The sequence below is a fragment of the Homo sapiens genome, chromosome 2 (assembly GCF_000001405.40).
Source record: "Homo sapiens chromosome 2, GRCh38.p14 Primary Assembly".
Classification (NCBI taxonomy): domain Eukaryota; kingdom Metazoa; phylum Chordata; class Mammalia; order Primates; family Hominidae; genus Homo; species Homo sapiens.
The window spans coordinates 25,059,667-25,086,728 of NC_000002.12; the positions used below are offsets into that span (position 1 = coordinate 25,059,667).

The following is a 27,062-nucleotide window of genomic DNA, read 5'->3' on the forward strand; positions in this document are numbered from 1 at the left end:
TGGTTGCACAACAGTGTGAATGGACTTCATGCCGCTGAACTGCATTTAAAAATGGCTAAAATGCCGGGCGTGGTGGCACATTGCTGTAATCCCAGCTACTCGGGAGGCCGAGGCAGGAGAATCGCTTGAACCCAGGAGGCAGAGGTTGTGGTGAGCCAAGATCGCGCCATTGCACTCCAACCTGGGCAACAAGAGCAAAACTCTGTCTCAAAAAAAAAAAAAAAAAAAAAAAAAAGACTAAAATGGGCCAGGTGCAGTGGCTTAGGCCTGTAATCTAATCCCAGCACTTTGGGAGGCTGAGATGGGCATATCACGAGGTCAGGAATTCGAGACCAGCCCGGCCAACATGGTGAAACCCCATCTCTACTAAAAATACAAAAATTAGCCAGGTGTGGTGGCGCGGCCTGTAGTCCCAGCTACTTGGGAGGCTGAGGCAGGAGAATCACTTGAACCTGGGAGGCGGAGGTTGCAGTGAGCTGAGATCACGCCATTGCACTCCAGCCTGGGTGACAGAGCGAGACTCCGTCTCAAAAAAAAAGAAAAGGCTAAAATGGCAAATTGAATATTATATATATTTTACCATAATTTTTTAAAAAAGTTTTCATACACATGTTATCAGAGTTGATCATACCCTCTGCCAATAGCATGAATCAGACCACATCGATGGCTTTGTGTTAGTCACCTTATTGATCAGGGGTGTCTGTAAAAGGAGACTTAGAAACTGGCATCTTCATATTCTTTGGATCTCTGGAAAACTCTTCCAACTCAAATTAAGAATATCATTAAAGTGCCATTTTTTTTTCAGGAAAGAAAGTTTGGATAAAATTAAGAGAATGTCTGCTACTGTGTTTTGTGAAAGTGGCTGGAGGGATGATTATCAAAATTGGAGTACCTGTTAGGGGTGGTCTGAGTTAATGGCAAATGGGCTTTTCACCTTGGAGAGGGGGTGATATAAAAAAACTAGCCACTGTCGGCCGGGCGCGGTGGCTCATGCCTGTAATCCCAGCACTTTGGGAGGCCGAGGTGGGTGGATCACGAGGTCAGGAGATCGAGACCATCATGGCTAACACAGCGAAACCCCGTCTCTACTAAAAATACAAAAAAATTAGCCGGGCATGGTGGCGGGTGCCTGTAGTCCCAGCTACTTGGGAGGCTGAGGCAGGAGAATGGTGTGAACCCGGGAGACAGAGCTTGCAGTGAGCCGAGATCGCCCCACTGCACTCCAGCCTGGGCGACACGACGAGACTCCGAATCAAAAAACAAACAAACAAACAACAACAACAACAAAAACCAAAAAACTAGCCACTGTCCTGAGTGACAAAACCGAGGTGCTGCGAGAGGCCCATATGACTGCCAATGGAGAGAACAGAGCCAGACATATTCCACAGAAGAGAATAAATGTGAATTTCAATGTTGGCTCCAACTCAGCCACAGGGGTTGGCACCTTGAATTGGAGGTTGATTTTTTTTTTTTTTTTGAAACAGTCTCACTTTGTCGCCCAGGCTGGAATGCAGTGGTGCAATCTTGGCTCACTGCAACCTCTGCCTCCTGGGTTCAAGTGATTCTCGTCCCTCAGCCTCCGGAGTAGCTCCGTGTGCCACCACGTCCAGCTAATTTCTGTTTTTTGGTAGAGACGGGGTTTCACCATGTTGGCCAGGCTGGTCTTGAACTCCTGAGCTCAAGTGATCCCCCTGCCTTAGCCTCCCAAAGTGCTGGGATTACAGGCGGGATGCACCGTGCCCAACCTGGAGTTTGATTTTTGATCGAGCTGCCTCTCACACGGGCAACGTAGATGGCCTACTCAGAAGTGAACACCAATAAGCTTTATTTACTTTTTTTTTTTCTGAGACGGAGTCTCCCTCTGTTGCCCAGGCTGGAGTGCTGTGGCGTGATCTCGGCTCACTGCAACCTCCACCTCCCAGGTTCAAGTGATTCTCCTGTGTCAGCCTCCTGAGCAGCTGGGATTACAGGCGTGCGCCACCACGCCCGGCTATTTCTTTTGTATTTTTAGTAGAGACGGGATTTCACCATGTTGGCCAGGCTAGTCTCAAACTCCTGACCTCAGGTGATCCACCCGCCTTGGCCTCCCAAAGTGCTGGGATTATAGGCGTGAGCCACCCTGCCTGGCCTACTTGTTAAAAAAAAAAAACAAAAAACTAATGCCACACCAGGGAGCCAGCCTGTGATTGTGGATGTACTGGCCCTGAAAGAAACCCACTAGAACACTAACAGTGGTTATTTCTAGGTGGAAGGATCATGGATGATTTAAATTTTCTTTTAATTTATTTTTACTTTATTTTATTTTTTTTAGTGCTCTTTGAGGAGCAGGGCCACCTTATAGGCAGTGTAAGCAATGGTTTTAATTTTCTTTTAAAACATTTTGTATTTTCTACACTTCGTGTAGTGAGTGCGTATTTTTAATTTTTAATTTTTTTCCCTATAACTTAATGCTCAGAAGTGAGCATGTATTTTTAATGGCAGAATGTAAATATAATTAAAAGTGTTCTTCATCACCAGAGGCCTTGTGGATAACTGTCTAGACTCTTCTAATTACGTTTCAGAAATGATTATGTAAGAATACATGCAAAAACAAATCTATGATAATAGAAATCAGATAGTTGGGCCAGTGGGTTGACTGGAAAGGGGGACTTTGTGAGGGGATTAGCAATGTCCTACCTCTTGTTTGGGTGATGGTTACACAAGTGTAAAAGCAGTTGTCAAAACTCAAGGTACTGAATGCTTAAATGTGTGCATCTTACTGCATGTTAATTATACTGCAGTAAAACAGTAGGAAACCCTGGAAGAGAAGAAAACATCCGTGCAAACAATCCCAGGGCTGTTTTGCAGTGCTGGCAGTGGGTATACTAGGAGACGGACGGTCAAGGGCCTGTGCCAGCCCGCACCAGGGCTCTTACCAGCAGCCTAGCACCAGTGAAAGGGCTCATTGAGAACTGCTGGTCAGGGCCGCAGGCTACTAGACAACTTACGTGCCGAGTAGCAAGCAGAGGAAGCTGACCCGGGAAGTCCATCCCATTGGCAGCTGGGAAGCTGATGGTGCCGGCAGGGCAGTGGGGGGAGGCCCATACGGCAGGGCCATCTGAGTGTAAGGCCTGCCTTTTGGGCACTGCCATTGGCGTTGCTGACTCTCAGGGGACCTTCAATGACAAAACAAAGCCTGACTCTCCTAGGCCTCCGGCACTGTCTCAGCACAATCACAGACATGGCTGAGCAGGGCTGGGTGTGAAGGATTGATTTTTCTTTTTCTTTTTTTTTTTTGAGACAAGTCTCGCTCTGTCGCCCAGGCTGGCGTGTAGTGGCGCGACCTCGGCTCACTGCAACCTCCGCCTCCCATGTTCAAGCGATTCTCCTGCCTCAGCCTCCCGAGTAGTTGGGATTATAGGTGCCCCCCAACCCGCCCCACCCACCACCCCTGGCTAATTTTTTTGTATTTTTAGTAGAGACGGGGTTTCACCATGTTGGCCAGGCTGGTTTTGAACTCCTGACCTCAAGTGATCTGCCTGCCTCAGCCTCCCGAAGTGCTGGGATTACAGGCGTGAGCCACTGTGCCTGGCCGAAGGATTGATTTTTCCATTTCCTCCTTGGGGCTTTTGTGACCTCACAGCCCACAGTAATGTCATTCTCCTAAGTACACAGAGGCTTTAATGACCTTATTATTCACCTGTTCCTTAATAATGTGCTGGCTTGTGACATCTCTGTATAAGGACCTATACTCTCTGGCTAGGAATGGTATATATTTTTTCTAATGGCACACTGAAATGGATTAATCTCAGTGTGTTCTTTGCAGGCCAGGGGTTAAGTGTGAAGACCCTGTAGTCGGACAGCCCTGGGTTTGAATCCAGCTACCCCATTTAGCAGTTAATGTGACTTTGGAAGTGTTACTTAACTGCCCTAAGCCTCATTTTCCTCATCTGTAAAATGGAGACGATAGACCCCACCTCAGTGTTGTTGGGAGGATTAAGTAAAAATGCATTCAAACCTCCTAACCGATTGTGAGAGCTTCATAGATGTTAGCTGAGGCTGATGTTAATTACAGAGCTTGTAATACATGTTTTACCATCAACCGATCCTTTTGATGACAGTGTGGCAGTAACAGGGTCACCCTCTCCAGGGGCCTGAGGGTCTGCATTGGAGGAAGGGTTCTCCACTCCTCATTTAGAGCTTTTCAGGAGCTGTCTCTTTCCAGCTGCGTTCTCACTCCATCTGCTCCTGGCTTCTTGAGATGGGCAGAATCTGCTTGAGGGACTTCCTACCTCGTGCAGGTGTTCCCAGAAGGCCCATGCGCGGTAGAGCTGCTGCATTAAGAGTGGGTCTTGGCTCTGATTGGCCTGCTGCTTACTTGGCATTTTTAGTAGGGCTCAACCTAGTACTTGTTTTGCATTTTTGCAGAATTCTGGTGCTTGCTTCTGATTCTGTTTTGCATTTCAAAAGTGTTGCTTCTGAAATTTCTCTTTGGCACCGTGACCACCCTGGCCCTGGCTCTACGTTTCGGAGGCTCTGGGCATGGCGCCTGTCTTGTGTTCTGGCACTGCGTGCATGCTGCAACAGTCTCTCTGATGATATATTTGGGCGTTCGAATGATTGATCTTGGATCTTTAGCTTTTCAGAATCTGCATCTTAAATCTGTGAGTTCGTCTGTATATTTAAAGCACTTACTCTTGATCTCAATCAGTTTGGCTCCATAAAAATAAAGCTTCCTCTGTTACTATATTTGATACTGTGTGTTCATTTAGAAAGCTGAAGGTGAGTAACCCTGCTTTTTATAGGCTGCCTGCTGACCACAATAGGAAACTGGGCATATTTTGGGAAAGGGGAAAGCATGAATGTGTTGTAAAGCCCAAATCCTGATTTCTAACACTATTGTTTTCATGTGATAGATTCTACTCGCTATGATGCAAGCTCTTTGAGAGTATGAGTTATTTATTGGAATGCTTCTTACCCCCAGAGTCCACATGTACTTAAAAAAATCGAATGCCTCGACGTGCCAAGTAGTAGGTATTCAGATGAATGAATTCCTACGAGGAGCCCAGATCACATTAAAGAAAGCTGAATACAGAAGCATTAACTTTTTTCCCTTTGCTTCCATTTATTGGGATTCCTGGAGCTTAAAAGGCTTACAAAGCACTTCCTTCCAAAAATGTAACCAATACATTACTTACACTGATAAATAACATTTTTAAAGTGAATACCAATCAAGTTATAAAATACCAACAATAAATTAACAGTAATTTTATCATCAAAGCTACCAAACACATTTTGGATTCTAAGGACACAACTGAAGCCAGGTGTCAGGACCACCTTGGCAGTTCACCCCTAGCCCAGGGTCACTGGTTCCCAAGGATCTGCACTGCTGGTGTTAGAAGCAGCCTGCATCCCTCAATTGTTCCCACCTGGCGGGGGGGGCGGGGCACACCAAGGCAGCACATCTGCCCCCATCTATTCAGAGACAAAGCAACAACAGCTTCTGTTGTTATTGTTGTTAAATAAATGATTCCTATAATATTTATTTATTTTGAGACAAGGTCTCGCTCTGTCACCCCAGTAGGAATTCAGTGGCACAGTCATAGCTCACTGCAGCCTCGAACTCCCTGGCTCAAGTGATCCTCCCTCTTCAGCCTCCCGAGCAGCTGGGACTACAGGTGCGCATCACCACACCCAGCTATTTTTTTTTTTTTTTTTTTTTTTTGGTTCAGATGAGTTCTCACTGCGTTGCCCAGGATGATCTCAAACTCCTGTGCTCAAGCGATCCTCCCACCTTGGCCTCCCAAAGTGCTGAGATTACAGGTGTCAGTCACCATGCTCAGCTGATTATATAATATTTTACAATGCTCTTGAGCCAGCAGTCATTGAAGCTGAGATTGCACCTTTCCCCCTTTCATAGTCATTATTCACTTCACACTATTTGAAATTCCAGTGTCACCTCCCCACTGACAACCTCTTGGGAAGGTCACCAGTGCAGGCCTGAGGGCTGGGCCCTGTGCCTTCACCTGCTTCTCAGTTCTCACTGCTTCTTCCTCTCTCAGCCATTTTTCTTCTGGAAATTCACCTCCCCTAAGCTGCCAGGACTCAGTGCCCCTGGGGTCCTTGTCTCCTTTTGTGATGATGGCCTCTGCTCTGGGCTGTTCCCAGCCCACCCGTGTCACACACTCACCCAGTGTGAATGGGCAGGTGCTGGGAGGCTCTTCCTGACACCCTCTGCTGTCTCCTGCCTCTGAATGTCTCCTTGGAAACCCCTCCCGCATGAAGGGAGGGAGAGCAGCAGATGTAGCCTGTGTTCCACCCACCTCATCTCTGGTCCTCTACTCTGATCACACATGTCACCACTTGGCTATGGGGCAGGTGGATGCTAGTCAGAAGCCTCTGCTTTCCTTCTGACTTCCTTTCATAACTCCTTAGCACTTCACTGCGGGCTGGAGACCAGATATCCCCCCACCTCCCCACGTCACACACTAGCCCAGTGTGACATCCCCAAGTTTGTCACACTTCCAGCTGGACACTTATAGTTCAGGGCCTTGTCTTGCTCTTCTTCCAGGATAGGGACATTCTTAGTGGCCTCCTGGGAGGGTCAGGGCTTGCTCCATCCATTTATCCACTGGAAGTAGATTCCTTACGCATTCTAAGAGCACAATAGAAGGTGATAGTGGCTGTTATTTAGTCATGATGACAGCTTTCCCCTCTTGGCCTAGCATTTGAGGGCCTTTCACCTTCGGTCCCCTCCCTGACACCTCCAGCTTTACCAGTGCTACTCCAGACAGTCTGGCCAGCTGATGTCTCTCAGAACATTCCCTTGTGCTTGGCACCCCCACACTTTTGCTGATGCTATTCCCCCTGCCTGGAATGCCTTCCTTTCTTGTCTTTGTCCACATGTTACTGATACTTCATCTCCATGGGGAGGCATCTAAACCAAAACAATGTCTTCACCCTCTGAAGGAAGTCCCAGCACGCTGGCTCTCTGACCTCAGTGACACTTGTGCTTCCTTTCATTATGGCTGCATGCTGTTACTCTAAGGGGACAGGGACTTGTGCATTCTATTTCTTTTCACCTTCTACTATGTCTAATGCACTTGATGCATTTTGTGTTGCATGCTGTGTGTGTGTGTGAATAAACAACATGACTTCTAGATCTTCAATCAGCTCCTTTGGTTCAAAATTCCAGCAAGAACAGAGCCGAACAAGTTTAGAAAACAGTTCCTGTGTGTACATGTGTGTGCGTGTGTGCTTTAACTCCAAGATTCCAAATCTTTAAAGACAACTTTTGCTCATCAGATTTTGTGAGGAGTTTTATCCTGAAGAGAAAATGGGAGAAACAATAAAAATTACATTTATTTTCAATTACATGAGTAATACTTCTGCAATGATGTCAGTGCTCTGTGTCTCCACTGTCCAGTGTGGTAGCCATTAGCCACATGTGGCTAGTGAACACATAAAATGTGGCTAGTTTGCTGGAGGAACTGAATTTTTAAATTTTATTTAATTTAAGTAGCCACAAGTGACTAGTGGCTACCATATTGGGTAGTGCAGTTTAAGTCGCTCCTCACCCTCTCCATCCCTAGGCACCCCCACCCAGCTCTACTCGGTGACCAGCGTTAACACTGTGCTGTGTATCTTTACAGATCTTTCTTTGTTCATGACAGCATATTTCACGCACATATTTACATACACACCCCATTGGTTTGGCCTGTGAGGGTGCACACAAATGGAATCATATCATAGGTGTTCTACAGCCTCCTTTTTAGTTTTTGTTTTTTTTTTTTTGTTTTTTGTTTTTGAGATAGAGTCTCACTCTGTTGCCCAGGCTGGAGTGCAGTGGCATGATCTCGGCTCACTGCAACCTCCGCCTCCTGGGTTCAAGCAATTCTCCTGCCTGAGCCTCCCAAGTAGCTGGGACTACAGGCGCCTGCCACCCCGCCTGGCTAATTTTTTTATTTTTAGTAGAGACGGGGTTCACCGTGTTAACCAGGGTGGTCTCGATCTCCTGACCTCGTGATCTGCCTGGCCACAGCCTCCTTTTGAATTAACAGTATGTTTGAGAGCTGTCTGGGGCGGTGCTCAGAGCTCTGCTTCATTCAATTCAGCTGCTGCCTAGTGTGCATTGCATGGCTGTTCCCTGCCTTATTTAGCCAGCCCTCTATTTTCTTTTTTAATGTTAAAACTTTTTTTTCTTTTGGAAAAAAAAATAGAGATGGGGATCTCGCCATATTGCTCAGGCTGGTCTCAAACTCCTGGGCTTAAGTGATCCACCCACCTTGGCCCCCAAAGTGCTGGGATTACAGGTGTGAGCCACCGCACCTGGCCTTTCCAGTCCCCTATGGATGAGCATTGTAGGCTGTTTCCAAACAAAGGCACCAGATCCATCTCTTACCTGCTTCCCTGTGCATACGAGCAGGTGCAGATACCCAGACATGGGCTTTCTGAGCCAAGGGGAGGAAAAGCATCCATGCTTCTCCTGTGGTGCTCTCACCCCTGGTTCTCCTGGACTGGGTGTGTAAGGTCAGGGCTGATGTGTGTATGAGCCATAAGTCTGAGATGCTGCTGGGGAGCCATTATTTATTTAGTTTTTTTGAGGAAGCCGACAGTCGTGTCCTACTCTGATCTCTGTTTCCACTCCCCACACTGAGGAGCTGAAACTTAGATTTTATCAAACAGACTGTGATGAGCCCTAAAAATACTGAGACATTAATAACAATTTGAAGCTGACAGACATAGACAGCAGGCATCTGCAAGCTGAGTCAATGCAGGCTTGAGGAAGATCGGGAAGGCTCCACGCCTCATTTTCTAAGTTAGATTTCTCAAGCCTCATTCATTATGCTCATCCTGGGGCACAAGCATAAGATAACTGGGTTTAAGGGCCTGTGTGTTTGCTAGCATTTGAATATTAGGTGTTGAGCAATGAATAAAACAAAGATTCACCGTATGATCTGTGCTGGAGTCACTTTTGTTTTTTTTATGTTTTTTTTTTTTTTGAGACAGATTCTCGCTCTGTCCCCCAGGCTGGAGTACAGTGGCGCGATCTCGGCTCACTGCAAGCTCCACCTCCCGGGTTCATGCCATTCTTCTGCCTTAGCCTCCAGAGTAGCTGGAACTACAGGTGCCTGTCACCACGCCCAGCTAATTTTTTGTGTTTTTAGTAGCGATGGGGTTTCACCGTGTTAGCCAGGATGGTCTCTATCTCCTGACCTTGTGGTCCGCCCACCTTGGCCTCCCAAAGTGCTGGGATTACAGGCGTGAGCCACCGCGCCCGGCATCTTTTTTTTTTTTTTTTTTTCTGAGACAGAGTCTCACTCTGTCACCCAGGCTGGAATGCAGTGGCGCGATCTTGGCTCACTGCAACCTCCGCCTCCCGGATTCAAGTGATTCTCCTGCCTCAGCCTCACCACCACACCCAGCTAATTTTTGTATTTTTAGTAGAGATGGGGTTTCACCATGTTGGCCAGGCTGGTCTTGAACTCCTGACCTCAGGTGATCCGCCCACCTCGGCCTCCCAAAGTGTTGGGATTACAGGCATGAGCCATTGCGCCTGGCCTGTACTGGAGTCACTTTCTAAGTAAGCAAAGGAGGCCAGGCCTTGGGCACAGCAGCGAAGCCAGGGTCAATTAAAGCGAGATGAGAAGCCATCGCTTGTCTCTGGTGGCCACGATGTATCTTGTCTGATGCTTTTTTCCCCTCTTCCTGATTTCAAACCATGCTAAAATAAAGATTATTAAAGATTCCATACTAATGTAGGCTAGGCGACCCCCAAAGTGAGGCTTAGTCTGTGACGGTTCTTGGCTTTGCCCAGGAAAGAATTCAAGGGCAAGCTAGTGATAGAGTAGAAGAAAACAGCCTTATTGAAGTGGCAGCATTACAGCTCCAGCGGTGTTCCAGCTCCATGACTGCTCCTGCAGGGCAGGGCTACCATGTAGACAATCTGTCTGAGAGTAGCAGCTCAGGGCAGTTTTGCAGTCGTGTTTATACCACTTTTAATTATATGCAGATTAAGGGGCAGTATGTGCAGAAATCTCTAGGGAAGGGGTAGTAACTTTTTGTTTTTGAGACGGAGTCTTGCTCTGTTGCCCAGGCTGGAGTGCAATGGCACGATCTTGGCTCACTGCAACCTCTGCCTCCCGGGTTCAGGACATTCTCCTGCCTCAGCCTCCCAAGTAGCTGGGACTACAGGCATGCGCCACCACGCCTGGCTAATTTTTTTGTATTTTCAGTAGAGACGGGGTTTCACCGTGTTAGCCAGGATGGTCTCAATCTCCTGACCTCGTGATCTGCCTGCCTCGGCCTCCCAAAGTGCTGGGATTACAGGCCTGAGCCCCCACACCCAGCCAGGGTTGTAACTTTTGATTCATCAGGTCATTGATTATTCATCAGGTCCTTGCTGTCGAAAGGACAGTAACTCCTGGCTATTGCCATGGCAATGGTAAACTGACATGGCACACTGGTGGGTGTGGCTTATGAAAAGCTGCTTCTGCCTTGTTTTAGCTAGTCCTCAATTTGGTCCAGTGTTCAAGCCCCACCCCCAGAGTCGAGTCCCACCTCCTACCTCATTACACAATATTTTCCCTGTGATTACCGGGGGCTTCTGATGATTTTATTTATTTATTTACTTTGAGACAGAGTCTTGCTCTTTCTCCCAGGCTGGACTGCAGTGGCGCAATCTTGGCTCACTGCAACCTCCGCCTCCCGGGTTCAAGCAATTCTCCCACCTCAATCTCCTGAGTAGCTGGGATTACAGGTGCATGCCACCACGCCCGGCTAATATTTACATTTTTAGTAGAGATGGGGGTTTCACCATGTTGGCCAGGCTGGTCTCGAACTCCTGGTCTCAAGTGATCCACCTGCCTCAGCCTCCCAAAGTGCTAGGATTACAGGCGTGAGCCACCGCATCCTACTGGCTTCTGATGATTTTAAAATTCAAATCTGGAGGAGCTAGTGATGGCTGATAAGAAAATGAAGGAGGAAAGCAGTGAACAGCAGGTGACATCCTTTCTATTTGAAACGTCCCTCCAGCAGCCAGGAGTGGGAGATATTTGGCAGGAATGGGCCACTGTCAATGAAGAGCTGAGGAAGGGAGAGAGGCGGGGTGGCAGTGGGAAGAGATGGAGGGCGCAGAGGCTCAGAGGGACAGACTCTACTAAACTGCTCATCTGACAAACTGTGAAGGCACACAACATTGGGAGGGTGAAGATATCCATTCGGATTAATGCAGAGATCCGCACGTTAATGGAAATGAAAACAAAGGAGAAAATTCATTGTTGCTTAATACACCACAGGTCAGGCTCAAGCTCTTTTCTTTTCTTTTCTTTTTTGAGACGGAGTCTCGCTCTGTCGCCCAGACTGGAGTGCACTGGTGCGATCTGGGCTCACTGCAAGCTCCGCCTCCCGGGTTCATGCCATTCTCCTGCCTCAGCCTCCCAAGTAGCTGGGACTACAGGCACCCGTCACCATGCCCAGCTAATTTTTTGTATTTTTAGTAGAGACGGGGTTTCACTGTGTTAGCCAGGATGGTCTTGATCTCCTGACCTCGTGATCCGCCTGCCTTGGCCTCCCAAAGTGCTGGGATTACAGGCATGAGCCACCGTGCCCGGCCTTTTTTTTTTTTTTTTTCTGAGACAGAGTCTCGCTCTGTTGCCCAGGCTGGAGTGCAGTGGTGCGATCTTGGCTCACTGCAATGTCTGCCTCCTGGGTTCAAGCGATTCTCCTGCCTCGGCCTCCTGAGTAGCTGGGATTACAGGTTCACGCCACCACACCTGGCTATTTTTTGTATTTTTAGTAGAGATGAGGTTTCACTATGTTGGCCAGGCCGGTCTTGAACTCCTGACCTCGCGATCCACCCGCCTCGGCCTCCCAAAGTGCTGGGATTACAGGTGTGAGCCACTGCACCCAGCCAGCCAAGCTCTTTTCTTTTCTGCACATCCCCTGTCCTAATGTAATCGTAACTTTCATAGTTTTGGTCCTACTTTGGATGCAGTTGGGTATATACCTTTCTCATTAAATGGTCTAGCCTAGGAATTTTTCCATGTGGTTGTCTAAATTATGTCTTGTTTGTCGCCGAAATTATTTTGTTGTCTTCCAAATTGTGTCATGGAGGTTTGCACTTAATCGATACCTTTCAGCCAGCTGGCTAAGCTCCACTCAGAGTTCCTTTGTTTACAAACATCCTGGTGAAGTGTGTCCTGTGCCTGTGATTAGCAGGTGTGAGAGAAATAGATGCTGGTTCTGGAAGGCTCCTGCCTGTGGCTTTCTCCCCTGAGTTTTCATCAGCTTTTCAATGTATCTGTTTTACTGGGCAGTCTTCAGACTCTGGCCCCAGTTCCTCTTGTTTCTTACGGCTGGTCTCAAATCTCGCACATCACCCTGGTGGTGTGGTTTTATTGGTGCCAGCCTTCCTTAGTGGTGGAATGAGTTTCTAATCCAGTTTGCATTGCCAGTGTGGCTATGAAGCTCCGGGAGTGGGGTCCCCGCTTTCGTCACCAGTTCCAGGCTCTCAGCTTCTCCCTCTGCGTGTTGGCAGTTGTGGACGTGGGTGGCTGTTACTCAGTGCTTGGGCCATCTGGCCCTTCCTTTCTGTTCTCTTTCCCCACCACCCTGGCTCCAGCCCTTATTTCTTTTCTTATCTTTATCTTTTTGAGACAAGATTTTGCTCTGTCACCCAGGCTGGAGTGCAGTGGTGTGATCTCGGCTCACTGCAACCTCTGCCTCCCAGGTTCAAGTGATCCTCCAACCTCAGCCTCCTGAATAGCTGGAATTACAGGTGCATGCTACCACACTGGGCTAATTTTTGCATTTTTTGGTAGAGACAGAATTTCACTATGTTGCCTGCGCTGGTCTTGAACTCCTGGGCCCAAGCGATCCTCCCACCTCAGCCTCCCAAAGTGCTAGGATTACAGGCGTGAGCCACTGCACCCAGCATCCTTATTTTCTTATGCCTTGACTTCTGCTTCTTCTCTAGATGGTCTCCCTTCTTCTTAGCTCTCTAAACTCAAATTCAACCATAGCCAGACCCATGGCTACCCTTCCTAATAAACCATTCTTATCCTCCAGTACCTCCTCTTCAGAAAGCCCTCAAACAGCTGCAGAATGCCACGGAGCTCCTCCCTGGGCAGTCAGAGCTTCTTGCAGCCTTGGGGCCCACAGGACTGCTGCTTGGAATCTCCCCTCCAGCTACTCTCAGGCCTTTTCTGCTCCTGAGGAGACCATTGAAATTCTTGAGTCTTAAAAATATGCATACCTTTTGACTCTATTTCTGGAAATCCAGCCTAATGAAATAATCCAGAAAATGGAAAAAGCTGTAATGTCTGCACACTCTTTCCAGCATTGTTTTAAATAGCATGAAAGTGTAAACAAGATATATGTCAAACAATATGGAAAAGATTTGATGCATTATTGTGGATCTTCTTACTGGAATTTGAAGCATACATTCACAACGATAGTTATGATGACAATTCAACACCCAGATAAACACTTAAGAAATAGAATGAAGAGGACCAGGGAGCTGCCAGTTATGGAGTGTTGTCCCAGCACACACTCGGTGTTTTGCTCACCTCCCACAGACAAAGAAACCCACAGAGGGCGTGGCACACCTGCCTGAGGTCACATAGCTCATGGTCCCAGTTTTGCTGTATTCCAAGGCGTGCTCTCTCTATGCTATAAAATACAAAACTGTGTATATTATTTAAGCTATTTAATACTTTTTTTTTTTTTTTTAGACAGAGTGTTGCTCTATTACCCAGTCTGGAGTACAGTGGTGCGATCTCAGCTCACTGCAACCTCCACCTCCCAGGCTCAAGTGATCCTCCCACCTCAGCCTCCCAAATAGCTGGGACTACAGGTGTGTGCCACCATGCCTGGCTAATTTTTGTATTTTTTGTAGAGAGGAGTTTCGCCATGTTTCCCAGGCTGGTCTTGAACTCCTGAGCTCAAGTAATCCACCTGCCTCGGTCTCCCAAAGTGTTGGCATGAGCCACTGCGCCCAGCCCACTATGTAATGATTCTCCGGAATGCCTGCTGTACACTGAGATCTGGGTGCCAGGTGCCTGCAAGGAGCTCCCAGGCAAGCTTAGGTTCTGAAACCACATGCATGTGTGCCCCTTTGCTCAACAGTTTCTCTTGCCAGGACCCCCTTTTTCTCCTGTTCTCCTGGTAGGCCCACCTCCTTCCAGGCTCTGCCTCAATTCTTCCTCCCCTGTGAAGCCCTCCTTGACCAACCAGCCTGAGGAGCACACACCCTCCTTTGAGCTTTTGCAACACATAAAACTTTCCATGAGAAACATCAGTATACCCAAGCCGCTTATATTTTATTGATTGTGCCTTTTCTCTCCAACTAGACTGTAAGAGCCTCCAAACCAGCCCTGTGTCTTGGCAATGTCTCATATAGCCAGGTAGCTCTTGGCACAGTGGGGGGGACTCATAATGGATACTCAATATATGAGTCAGCAAATCTTATTCTCCCTCCATTTGTGACCAACCTGGTGTGGGGCTGGTTGGTCGCTCTAAGGAGTGGAGGGAGAGGCTCTGGCATGATGCTGGGATGCTCTTGTGCCTCCATGGCCCATCAGACTCCTGAACCAGAATCCTCCACCAGTTACCACCGTTGCTCAAAGGAAGCATCTTTGGCTGAGCACAGTGGCTCACGCCTGTAATCTCAACACTTTGGGAGGCCGAGGCGGATGGATCACTTGAGGTCAGGAGTTCAAGACCACCCTGGCCAATATGGCAAAATCCCGTCTCTACTAAAATACAAAAATTAGCCAGGCGTGGTGGTGTGTGCCTGTAATCCCAGCTACTCAGGAGGCTGAGGCAGGAGAATCGCTTGAACCCGGGAGGCAGAGGTTGCAGTGAGCCAAGTTTGCGCCACTGCACTCCAGTCTGAGTGACAGAGCGAGACTCCATCTCAAAAAAAAAGAAAAAAAGAAAAGAAAGAAGCATCTTTGCCTTCACTATCTGCCAACTTTTTTTTTTTTTTGAGACAAGAGTTTTGCTGTGTCACCCAGGCTGGAGTACCGTGGCGTGATCTCGGCTCACTGCAACCTCCGTCTCCCAGGTTCAAGTGATTCTCCTGCCTCAGCCTCCTGAGTAGCTGGGACTACAGGTGCATGCACCACATTAGGCTAATTTTTGTATTTTTAGTAGAGATGGGGTTTTACCATGTTCGCCAGACTGGTCTTGAACTCCTGACCTCAAGTGATCCTCCTGTCTCCACCTCCTAAAGTGCTGGGATTATAGGCATAAGCCACCATGCCTGGCCTATCTGCCAACTTTTTAAAAAACTTTTTATTTTGAAATATGGATTCATGGGCAGTTGCAAAGAAATGCGCAGAGAGGTCCTTTGTACCCTTCACCCAGCCTCCCCTAGTGTGAACATCCTGCGTAACTATAGTTCAGTATCCACACCAGGAACTTGGGGGGTGCCATCCACAGAGTCTGTTCAGATTTCGTCAGTTACACCTGATTTTCAAGAATAATCCATCCTGGAAATTGTCCTTTCCTACTTGAGCACATTTTCTTCATATCCCCACCTGGCATATTTATTCTCAGTTCAAATCTCCTGCAGCTCTGAAGTCAGAGGGCCTCCCTGGCTCTGTTCCTGACTCTGTTCCTCACTTCCTGTGTGATCGTAGGCAAATTAACTAACCTCTGTGAGCCCTGGTTTTCTCTTCTGAAGATTAACAATACTAACCTCATGGGATTTTATTTTTTTAACAAAGTGCTCAAGTTAGGCAGTTAAAATAATAGGCACTCAGGACATGTCTATTTTCTTTTCACCCTTTCTGACATGGAAAACCCTCTTTCTCACTAAACAATGGAATCCTTCTCATTTAAATAATGTTCAAAGTTAGTCTCCTCTGACCCCTTCCCATCCCATCTCTAGTTTCCTCAGCAACCTTGCTCTGTGTGTGTTTAACAGTTAATTCTTATGATCCTGATTATATGTTCCATGTTCCTGGTGAATATATTTTCAATTCTATTTTTTACCTACCAACAATATAAGGTATTTGCAGGCAGAGACCTCAGTTCTTTATTTTTACAAGTCAACATATTAGATAAGAGCCTAGGTTTAGTGCCATCTGTAAAACAAGGATAACTGTATCAACCTCATAGGGTTTTTGTAAAGATTAAATGAAAGAATGCATAATGCCTGGAACAGACAAGCTCAAAACACTTTAGCTGTTGTTGACGGTCATGATGATGCCCTTTCACTTGTGTTTCCTCATGGAGCCTTGTCCTCGGGTAGGGTCTCACTCTGTCACTCAGGCTGGAGTATGGTGGTATGCAGTGCAAGGTATGATCACTGCTCACTGTAGCCTTGACCTCCCAGTCTCAAGCGATCCTCCCACCTCAGCCTCCCAAGTAGCTGGGACTACAGGCATGCGCCACCATGCCTGGCTGATTTTATTTTTATGTTTAGAGATGAGGTCTCACTTTGTTGCCCTGGCTGGTCTCAAACTCCTGGGCTCAAGTGATCCTCCCACCTCGACCTCCCAAAGTGTTGAGATTACAGGTGTGAGCCACCATGCTTGGCCTTGGATTTAGATGTCTTAATAGCGATTGGTACTTCACATCCAAGAATAAAATAAAGATAAAGGACATTAAGGGCTATCGTTGCTCCAACATTCCATTTTATTCTACCCTGCCTTTTTTCTCCTAAGTTGGGAAAAAGATTTTAATAATAATTATCATAGTAATACTGATGATGATGATGATGAAAGCTAACAATTACTGAGTTCTTACTGTGTGCTAGGAATAGTTGTAAGAACTTCACTCTGTTAACTTATCTAGTCTTCACCACAACCCTATTAAGTAGATTCCCTTCCTTCCATTTTGCGGATAAGTAGACCAAGGCACACAAGATTGTACAGCTTTGCCAAAGCTGAAGCTGGGTTTGAAACCAGGCTTTCTATTTCCCCAAAATGGTTGGGATAAAATTTTCCTGCTGTTAGTGGTCCCGAGAGACAGAGAATGGAAAAACATTCTGTTCATTTTCATCTATTCTTTGCTTGAAGAGCATATCAAAGCCCAAAGAAGCCTGTAGTTCATGAAGAATTGAAGCCCTGACATTAAATCAATCAGACACGTTTCTCTCCTTTTAAATCCCCATCCTCAATTAAGGTGGCAATCAGATTAACCAAGATTGGCCGGAAACGGGTGAGTGTCTCGGAAGCTCTAGAGCTCCAAAAGGTCAGGCCACTGACAGCTACTGATTTGTGTGTTACTTCAGGCAAGTCTCACCCACACTATCTCCCCAGGGAGAATTCAGCTGCTGTTTAATTCTACTCCCGGTAAGATCTGTTTGGAAACTCAAATCCTGCCTCCTTCCCCAAATTCATTTTCATCAGCATTTCCTCTTGATCTCTTCAATCCTGAATCTTTCCCAGATGAGATACATGTCCCGGCCCCTGCAGATGTACCCCTCTCCTGCAGCCACATGGTACTGTTTGATTTCCTTAGCACCAATAAAACAAAACCAGGCTCTGCCTGAATGATTCCTGGCTTTAATTACCAAAGGCAAATTGCTGCGTCACTCAGAATAATGAAAAACTGGAAACAACAGAGAATGATTAAATAAATCAGGATCCAGTCAAAAGATGAAATAATAAGTAGCCATTAAAATGAAGTTTTAAAACTTTTTTTTTTTGAGATGGAGTCTTGCTGTTGTCGCCTATGCTGGAGTGCGATGGCACGATCTCAGCTCATTGCAACCTCTGTCTCCTAGGTTGAAGCAATTCTCCTGCCTCAGCCTCCTGAGTAGCTGGGATTATAGGCACCCGCCACCACACCTGGCTAATTTTTTGTGTATTTTTAGTAGAGATGGGGTTTCACCATGTTGGCCAGGCTAGTCTTGAACTCCTGACCTCCTGATCCGCCTGCCTTGGCCTCCCAAAGTGTTGGGATTACAGGCGTGAGCCACCATGCCTGGCCGAAAGGCCTTCAGTAAGAAAGTAAGTGCTCACAATATAAGAAGAAATTCAGTTTTAACACTATCCTGTAGGATCCCAATTTTATACATATATATTTTAAAATATACATAAACATGGACACAAAAACTAGAACAAATACACTGAAATTCTAATAGTTATCTTTGAATTACGTGATTCTAAGTGATGTTCATTTTCTTTTTTCCCCCGTTTTATAAATTTATACCCATGAGCATCTATTCCTTTTAAATTCAGAAGCAAGGAAAAGGGGAAAAGAAAAGAGGGAACCTTTTTGTTTTTCTTAAAATTGTCCCCATTGGAGGGTTGTTGATTTTTTGTTTCATGGATTCACCAGTACTTACCAGCTGTCTCCACCCCTAGTGAGGCAGCTCACATCTCACCTCTTCCAGGAAGCCTTCCTAGATTCATTAAACTCAGAGATTTCTTCAGTTTTATGGACTCCTTAGTCTCATTGTGACATATCCTTGACCTTAAATGTGTGCAGGTTTTGTGTCCCCAACTACAGAGTAAGTTCCTTGATGGCAGAACCTGTCTATTTTAAACTTCTTTCTCTTCCCCACGCCACCCAGCAAGTGCCCTGCGAACTGCTGGAGTTCATTAATGTCAGTGAACACAAGTGCCTCGTGGGAGGCACTTGAATCAGATGCACCTCTCTCTCTGAACTTTGTTCCATTTCCTCCAATTCATTTGAAGCGGGTGTCCATGCCATTAGCCCTGGGTCAGATTTTATTGTAAATTGTTTAAAAAGAATTCCATTTGCTTTAGTAGGAATGATCAAGTCCAGCCCTTGTCTTTACAAGAAGATTGCAAAGCTGAGAAAATAAATACAAACTATTTTGAGCAAAAAGGCATTTTTCTTGGTGAATGCGGAGGAGGGAGTTGATGTTTATAAGAAGGAAAGGAGAGGCCAGGAGGGGAGGTGACTTCCCTGAGTCTCACGCTGTTCAAAGGCAGGTGAAGTCACACATCACGCCAGCTTCCCTCCAGCCCTGCTGGGCTCAGGATACTGTATTGAGGTCAGAAGAAAATGAGACCTAGGAATTTACAGTTTATCTTGGGAGAAGAAAAGATGAGTCACTGAAATAACTTCGCCTGAACAAGCAGTGGGAGAAGATTATATAAGGTAATACAGTGTGAAGGATGCACAGAAGTCGAGCTGGCAGAGAGTACGCTGTGCCTGTGGTCGGAGAGTGTTGTTCATGGAAGGCTTCCAGGGAGCTCAGCAGGTGTCAGGATCCGCCAGGTGTCAGGTCTGTGGCGCTGACTCTCCTGCCCCTTCAACATCTCCAGCTTGTGGCCGGTCCCTGTCACCAAAACATCCTTTCATTCACTGCCACGAGACTGCGTGGCTCCCCTAATCTGCTCTGCTTCCGACCTCCCAACCCTTCTCACTGTGGACTCTGGCTGCTAGACACAGAGTGTTCCAGGAGGCAGAGCATGAGTGAGAGGACCCCCTACAGTGGAGGAAGGACTTGAAGATGAAGCAACTGTCCCCACCTCTACTGGGGCATCCCTTGTTAAATCCTAAGTTGAATGGTTGACATTTAATGCAGCACAGGTCATGCTACCTGCTTGACCATGAAGCAAACTAAATTAAATATTTGCCTTAGAGCTACATAAAGAATGAATTGAAGTGAAGAGACTGGCCAGGTCCCCGGGACTGGGTGGCAGGTGTTCAGGAGGCTTCCAGCAAGGTGGCTGTGGCGAAGGAGAGCACAAGATGAACTTGGGAAATTGTTAGAGATATATTTTTTGGAAAGTGATGGAAGAATTAGGGGAGTTTCATGGCAGAGAAGAACATGCTATGTGACCTTGGGCAGGGCACTTAACCTCTCTGATCCTGCCTCTTTATCTGTAAAATGAGAATAATAGTATCTACTTTATGGGGTTGTTACGAGACTTATATGAAATATTTGTAAAGTGCTTGTCCTAGTGCTTAGTGCAGAGCTGGTGGTAAACCCTGGAATTTTTTTTAATTTATTTTATTTGTAGGACTCTTATCAATGAAGAACTTTGTATCCAACAATAATAAACAGACATATTGCAAGTTACATTTTGTAGGAGAAGCAAATAAGACTGGTTGCAACAAAAGAAATTAGTTACCTGCATTATAGGTTCTTTATACAAACAGTGTTCTATAAATAGAATTAAATGCAAACCAAATGTTTTTAAAAGTTTGTATACCTACATGGCAATTACAACCTCCACACACCAAAAAGAACAATAACACAGAACACAGTATCCTTAATGATTATAGCACATTTAACACCTTCAGCCATCCTCTGGGTTTTCAGATCATATTGGCAACTGAAATTTCACATCCACATGTGCTTGCTTGGCTAAGTCCGCTGTTTCAGAGAGCCTTCTGAACGTTCTAGCAGTTTCCTCCAAGTCGTCACAAGCAAGAATTTTAAGCCCACTGTCTGCTCTCGGTGCCTTAGCATCATCAACTCGTGTACCTTGTAACCCCCACAACAGGTATTTCAATTTCCACATCTTTTACTGCCGTGACTATACCCTGTGCAATAACATCACAGTGCATGATTCTTCAAAAAATGTTGATCAGAATAGCCAGTACCTTTTTATCTGAAGTGATAAGCTTAAATGCTTCTGTTACTTGATGGACTGTAGCACCACCACCAACATCAAGGAAGCTGGCTGGAGTCCCTCCCCAAAGCTTTTTTTTTTTTTTTTTTTTTTTTTTTTGAGATGGAGTTTTGCTCTTGTCGTCCAGGCTGGAGTGCAGTGGCACCATCTCGGCTCACTGCAACCTCCGCCTCCCATGTTCGAGCGATTCTGCTGCCTCAGCCTCCTGAGTAGCTGGGATTACAGGTGTCCGCCATCACACCTGGCTAATTTTTGTATTTTTATTAGAGACGGGGTTTCACCGTGTTGGCCAGACTGTTCTTGACCTCCTGACCTCAGGTATCTGCCCGCCTCGGCCTCCCAAAGTGTTGGGATTACAGGCATGAGCCACCACTCCTGGCCCCTGAAGTTTTATTATATCTATTGAGGCCATGGCCAAACCAGCACCATTTACTAGACAGTCTGTATTTCCTTTCAGGCCAATGTAGTTGAGATCTGCCTTAGCAGCGTCTTTGTCATTTTCATCTTCTTGGGTTCAGTCCTGTAGATCAAAGATTTTCTTTTGGCGTTAGGCTGAATTAGAGTCAAAATTGATCTTTGCATCCATCACAGCACAGCTCCATCTGAATCTTCACCATTGGATTTATTTCTTATCATGGTTGCATCATATTTCAGAAAAAGGCTGTAAAGCTTGACCATGTTTTCTGCTGCGGAATCCACAATATTAGGTGGAAATCCCATCTTCTGTTCAAGCCGGAGAGCTTGTTCCTTTTTGATGCCTTCTACAATATCAACAGGTTCTTTAATTGCATCAGGAGTCTCAGCAGCAACATCTGCAATGTTGACACCACCATGTGAACTTCCTATTAATATAGGACCTTGAAATGACCTCTCCATCCCTATTGCAAAGTAGTCTTCTCCCCTAGGGTATTTTCGCTTCAGTGCTTGATTGCATATTCCACCCTTTTCTCCCATTTGCTTGGTAAACAACTTTTTCCCAATCATTTCTGAGGAAACAGCTTTTGCTTCTTCTGGAGAGAAAACTATCTTCACTCCTCCTTTGAGGCCACTTTCAAATGTTCCTTTTCCTCGACCATCAGCTGAAACCTGCGCCTTCATCTCAACTTCTTTTGAACCTGCTTCTTACTACTTGTGAGTCCCAGAGAACTTGCCAGCAGTACTCATAGTTACAGTTTATCCTGCACATGTTATTTCTTTCTTCTGTACCTACTTTTTTGGCAATTGCATAAGCTTCATCTGGTGATTTTGCCACATATCCTTTGGAAACGGAGACACCAGCTTCTTGCAATAATTCCATACTCATGTATTCATGTAGTGAGAGATTCCTGTGCTATTGCTGCTGTACTTGGAGTCCATGGTTATTCAACAATCCATAACTTCCTAGAGCCTGAGCAGTGGCCCGCAGGGCTGTCCAGAGAAGGTGGCCCCGAAGGGTAGCTGCGGCCAACAGCTGGCTGTAGAACATGGAGGCTGCCATTTCCGAGTGAGACCCATTCCCTTGGTACCGCCTGCAGCCGCACAGGCCCCTGGAATTTTTTTAGATTTTAAAATCAGTGTGAGAGAGACTGGAGTGGCAATGAAGGAGAGGAAATAATTCAAAGGAAATAATGTATCTCAGTGGGCCTGGCAGGTGATGCTGGGTTACTAGTAGGGAGTTTGGGGGAGGGGACCTAGATTTTGAAAAGCATGATGTAGTTAGTGTTTGAGACTTTGTTTGTTTCAAACCACCAATCGCCCTGAGTAGAGGGCAGCTCTGATCAAGGGGACAGCTCAGTCAGGCAAACAGGATCCAGCAAGCAGGCCAAAGGAGAAACAGGGCTGCGACGCCTAGGGGTCACAGGGACGCAGATGCTGCTGGTGGCCCAGGTGAGGGGTCCTGCGTCCTCTGTCGCAAGGCTGCCAGCAGCTGCAGGATCTGCTCTCACATGTTGGACAGGCAAGGACCTTGTGGCACTTCTCACCCTGGCTGTGTGCTGGAATTGTGGTGGAGCATTTTAAACACCTCTGGGCCCTCTTCACAGCACAGGGGTCATTCTGATGAGCAGCCAGGATTGCGGCCACAGGCCAAGCCAGGAGCCAGCTAAGGGGGTTGGGGGAGTGAGGACAAGGCAGGCTAGAGGCCTTGGGCAGACAGGAGGAACTCTGACCCAGGCTCCCTGATGCCCAGTATGTCTGCCTGGAGAGAGACTGGTCCCAGTGAGCCTGACCTCAGGAGCTACAGGTGTTGGCAGCCCTAGAAGATGGGCTGGGCACCAAGTTCAGGAACAGGAGCCAACTGTTCTATAACAGGAACTTTTCCCTGAAGTTCCCCTGGGAGTACTGTCTTGCAAACACCCAGAGATCTTTTGCTAAGTGCCTCATAGACTTTGACTTACTGACTTTGAAATTACTGACCTTGAAATTCATGATTGCTTTTCTGCTCGATCACACTGTCCTCCCTTTATTCCACAAACCTGTATGAGCACCCCCTGCCACCACCACCCATGGGTTGGACCCTATTCCAGCCCTGGGACACAGTGGGGACAAGTGGACAAAGGTCTCACTCTTGAGGAGCTTACCTTCGAGTGGGGAGATGGAGTGTAGACACAGATGAAATGTGTCCATTGGTAAAAAGCACTATGAAAAGGAATAAACCAGGACAGAAAATTAAAGTGGAATGCTGGTCAGGGAAGCTCTTTCCAGCTAGGTGACATTTGGGCAGAGACCTTAGGGACATGAGAGTGGGAGGTCAGAGGACATGGGGAAGAACATTCTGGACAGGGGGTTTGGGGCAAAATGAGCCATCGAGGGAGGTCTCACCATTCTCATGGTTTTAAAGGAGGAAGCTGCCAAAATCATGTGTCATTGAACATTTGGTTTATTCCTACTGATTTGCCTTTTCAGTGGCAGTGCAGCTACATACTAGGGAATTGGCCATATCACGTTTCCCTCTCTTCCTTAAAATAGGTATGAAAATATCAGGTAAGACAGCTCCTAGTGACAGAAGAGGATCCTTCATAAATTTACCTTCAGCTACTGTGGTTGGATCTGCCAGACACGATCCCTAGAGAGTGAAAGAGGACCCGTTGGAAAGTGCTTCTGTTTTAGAAATAAAATGGCTCAGAATTAAATGATTCTTTTATAGGCATATAGTTGTGAGTTAAACTCCACAATTTGTATGTATGAATACTAACATTAAGAATAAATACCATCAGAAGTAAGATGGAAGAAATATATAAAAACATTACTTAGTGTCTCGTTACAATGAACTGTTTTTAGTTTCTTTTTAATGTCTATTATTTGTTTCTTTCCTAGCTGGGTTTTGTGGCTACTTAGAATTCACCATTGTTGGGCTGGAAGCTTTCTAGGGGTGCTTGTGGGTTCCCAGCACCCACTAAGCTGCTTTGGGACCCAGAAGCTGGGCGCTCCTGACCAAAGCGCCTCCAGCTCTCAACTCGGAGAGGAGAGCTGGGAATCTCCTGCCATCAGCTTTGATTACCTACCCAGGAAGTGTGGAGTATTGCACAGGGCCAGACAGTAAGAAAAGGGAAGAGCTAGAATTTCATCCTAAGCCCATCTGACCTCTGAGCCCAAATTCTTAACCACCATGCTCTGGTGGTTTGCAGACTCAAAGTGTGGTCCTGGGACCAGGGGCATCAGCATCCCCAGAGTCTAATCAGAGCTTGCATTTTAACCAGATCCCCAAGGGACACGTGCACTCTACAGCCTGAGATGCACTGACCTAGTGGTTCTCTTTCCACATAGGCCTCAGTTTCCCTAGCTCTGTGACAACTGTAACCTATCCCTGCCCTGGTTTTGTATTTCAGAACATGGACTCTGAAAGTAGATTTTTGGGGTTCAGATTCTAGTCTGCCATTTGGGGTTCAGATTCTAGCTGTGTGGCTCTAGGCAGGTAACTTAACCACTTAATGCCTCAGTTTTCTCATCTATAAAATGAGGATAAAAATAGTACCTATGCCATGGGTTTGTGAACCTCGAAAATCTGAGACAGGTCTCAGTTAATTAATTATTTTTTTTTTAATTTTTATTTATTTATTTTTTTGAGAATGAGTCTCACTCTGTCACCCAGGCTGGAGTGCAGTGGTGCGATCTCGGCTCACTGCAACCTCTGCCTCCCAGATTCAAGCGATTCTTGTGCCTCCGCCTCCCGAATAGCTGGGATTACAGGTGCGCGCTGCCACGCCCTGCTAATTTTTTTGTATTTTTAGTAGAGAAGGGGTTTCACCATGTTGGCCAGGCTGGTCTCGAACTCCTGATCTCACGTGATCCACCTGTCTTGACCTCCCAAAGTGTTGGGATTACAGGTGTGAGCCACCGTGACCGGCCAGTCTCAGTTAATTTAGAAAGTTTATTTTGCCAGGCTGAGGACGTGCCCGTGACACAGCCTCAGGAGGTCCTGACGACATGTGCCCAAGGTGGTTGAGGCATGGTTTGGTTTTATACATTTTAGGGAGACATGAGACATCAATCAATATATGTAAGATATACACTGGTTCAGTCCAGAAAGGTGGGACAACTTGAGGCGAAGGCGGAACGACTCAAAGTGGAGAGGGGGCTTCCAGGCCATAGGTAGATAAAAGAGAAAGGGTTGCATTTTTTAGAGTTTCTGATTAGCCTCTTCAAATGAGGCAGTCAGTTATACATTTATCTCAGTGAGCAGAGAGGGGACTTCGAATAGAATGGGAGGCAGGTTGGCCCTAAGCAGTTCCCAGCTTGACTTTTCCCTTTAGCTTAGTGATTTGGGGGCCCCAAGATTTATTTTCCTTTCACAGGTTGTTGTAAGGATTACAAAAGTTGGTGCTTGTGAAGTATTTTAGAGCTGTGCCTGGCTCACAAGGAATAAGGCACCTACTGTCTTTTTCACTGCTATGAACCCTACCCCGTGTCTTCTTGTACCTCTCTTCTGGGAAGCCTTCCCCAACTATCGGAGCTCAAGATAATTTCTCTCTTTTTCGATTCTTTGGCAAATGATCTGGGATTTCCATCGTCAAACTGTAACTTAGGGAAAATCTGTTATTGTATTGATAAGGAAACTTAAGTCTCAAAGGTCAGATGACAGAATTGGTCCTGGAACTCAAAGGTCAAATGACAGAAGCAGGACTTAAACACCAGTACTCTTTAAACTCTAAAATTAGGGCTGTTTCCAATGTGCTACATTTGTAGTATTATATTCCTTCCTATTTCCCACCTATTTTTAAAGTAGGTAATAAATGTCTTGAAAAAAGCATAATAAAAATATTCATCACAATGATTTTATTTATTTATTTATTGAGACGAAATCTCTTTCTGTTGCCCAGGCTGGAGTGTGGTGGCACAATCTCAGCTCACTGCATCCTCCACGTCCCCGGCTCAAGTGATTCTCCTGCCTCAGTCTCCCAAGTAGCTGGGACTACAGGCCTGCACCACCACACCTGACTAATTTTTGTATTTTTAGTAGAAACGAGATTTCACCATGTTGGCCAGGCTGGTCTCGAACTCATGACCTCAAGTGATTTGCCTGCCTCAGCCTCCCAAAGTGCTGGGATTACAGGTGTGAGCCACCGCGCCTGACCAAAATGAGGGTGCTAGTGGCTGTTGACTTTTCAGAATATGTTAATTTGTGCTATGAATCTGGGATGGGGGATTTAGTATGCCTGGCTTCATATATTTATTTGTCCTTGGAGCCTTTTTCTGGGAAATGCTTGTTAGCATCACACAGCTAGTGTTTCATGGAACACAGTTTGGGGACTGTGGCTCTGCTCGCCAGAGCATCTGCTCTCCTACCCCATGTACTTTTTCTTTTTAAGACTCTATTTTTTAGAGCATACAGTATGTAGCTTTTTCAGATTGGCTTCTTTCCCTTAGTAATATACATTTAAGTTTCCTCCATGTCTTTTCATGGCTTGATCACTCATTTCTTTTTAGTGCTGGATAATATTCCGTTGTCTGGATGTACCACAGTTTATTCACCCACTGCAGGACATCTTGGTTGCTTCCAAGTTTTGGCAATTCTACATAAAGCTGCGGTAAACATCCACGTGCAGGTTTTTGTGTAGACATAGTTTTCATTTCCTTTGGGTAAATACCAAGGGGTGTGATTGCTGGATTGTATGGTAAGAGTTTATTTAATTTTTTAAGAAGCTGCCAAACTGTCTTCCAAAGTGGCTGTACCAGTTTGCATTCCCACCAGCAATGAATGAGGGTTCTTGCTGCTCCACATCCCTGCCAGCATGCACTGTTAGTGTTCTGGATCTGGGCCATTCTAATAGGTGTGGAGTGGTATCTCATTGTTGTTTTAATTTACATTTCCTGGATGACATATGATGTGGAGCATCTTTTCATAGGCTTATTTGCCACCTGCATATCTCCTTTGCTGCGATGTCTATTAAGGTTTCAGGCCCTTTATTTATTTATTTATTGAGACAGAGTCTTGCTCTGTCTCCCAGGCTGGAGTGCAGTGACATGATCTTGGCTCACTGCAACCTCTGCCTCCTGGGTTCAAGTGATTCTGTTACCTCAGCCTCCCAAGTAGCTGGG

At 46.2% G+C, this 27,062-nt stretch overlaps 1 protein-coding gene and 1 pseudogene across 2 annotated transcripts in view, besides 1 other annotated feature; one reads left to right on the forward strand and one right to left on the reverse strand.

The window, feature by feature from the left end:
* The window catches only part of EFR3B (EFR3 homolog B), a 117,060-nt gene that overhangs the window by 17,591 nt on the left and 72,407 nt on the right, over nucleotides 1-27,062 (forward strand). The window lies entirely within an intron of this gene.
* Nucleotides 10,609-10,751: a silencer, noted in NCBI's record as "fragment chr2:25293144-25293286 (GRCh37/hg19 assembly coordinates)". NCBI's record gives its function as "represses an EF-1alpha promoter that drives an FKBP-Casp9 reporter gene in an ReSE screen in K562 erythroleukemia cells {active_cell/tissue: K562}" and the evidence as "EXISTENCE:reporter gene assay evidence [ECO:0000049][PMID:32094911]".
* On the reverse strand, nucleotides 19,940-22,026 carry SUCLA2P3 (SUCLA2 pseudogene 3; annotated as a pseudogene).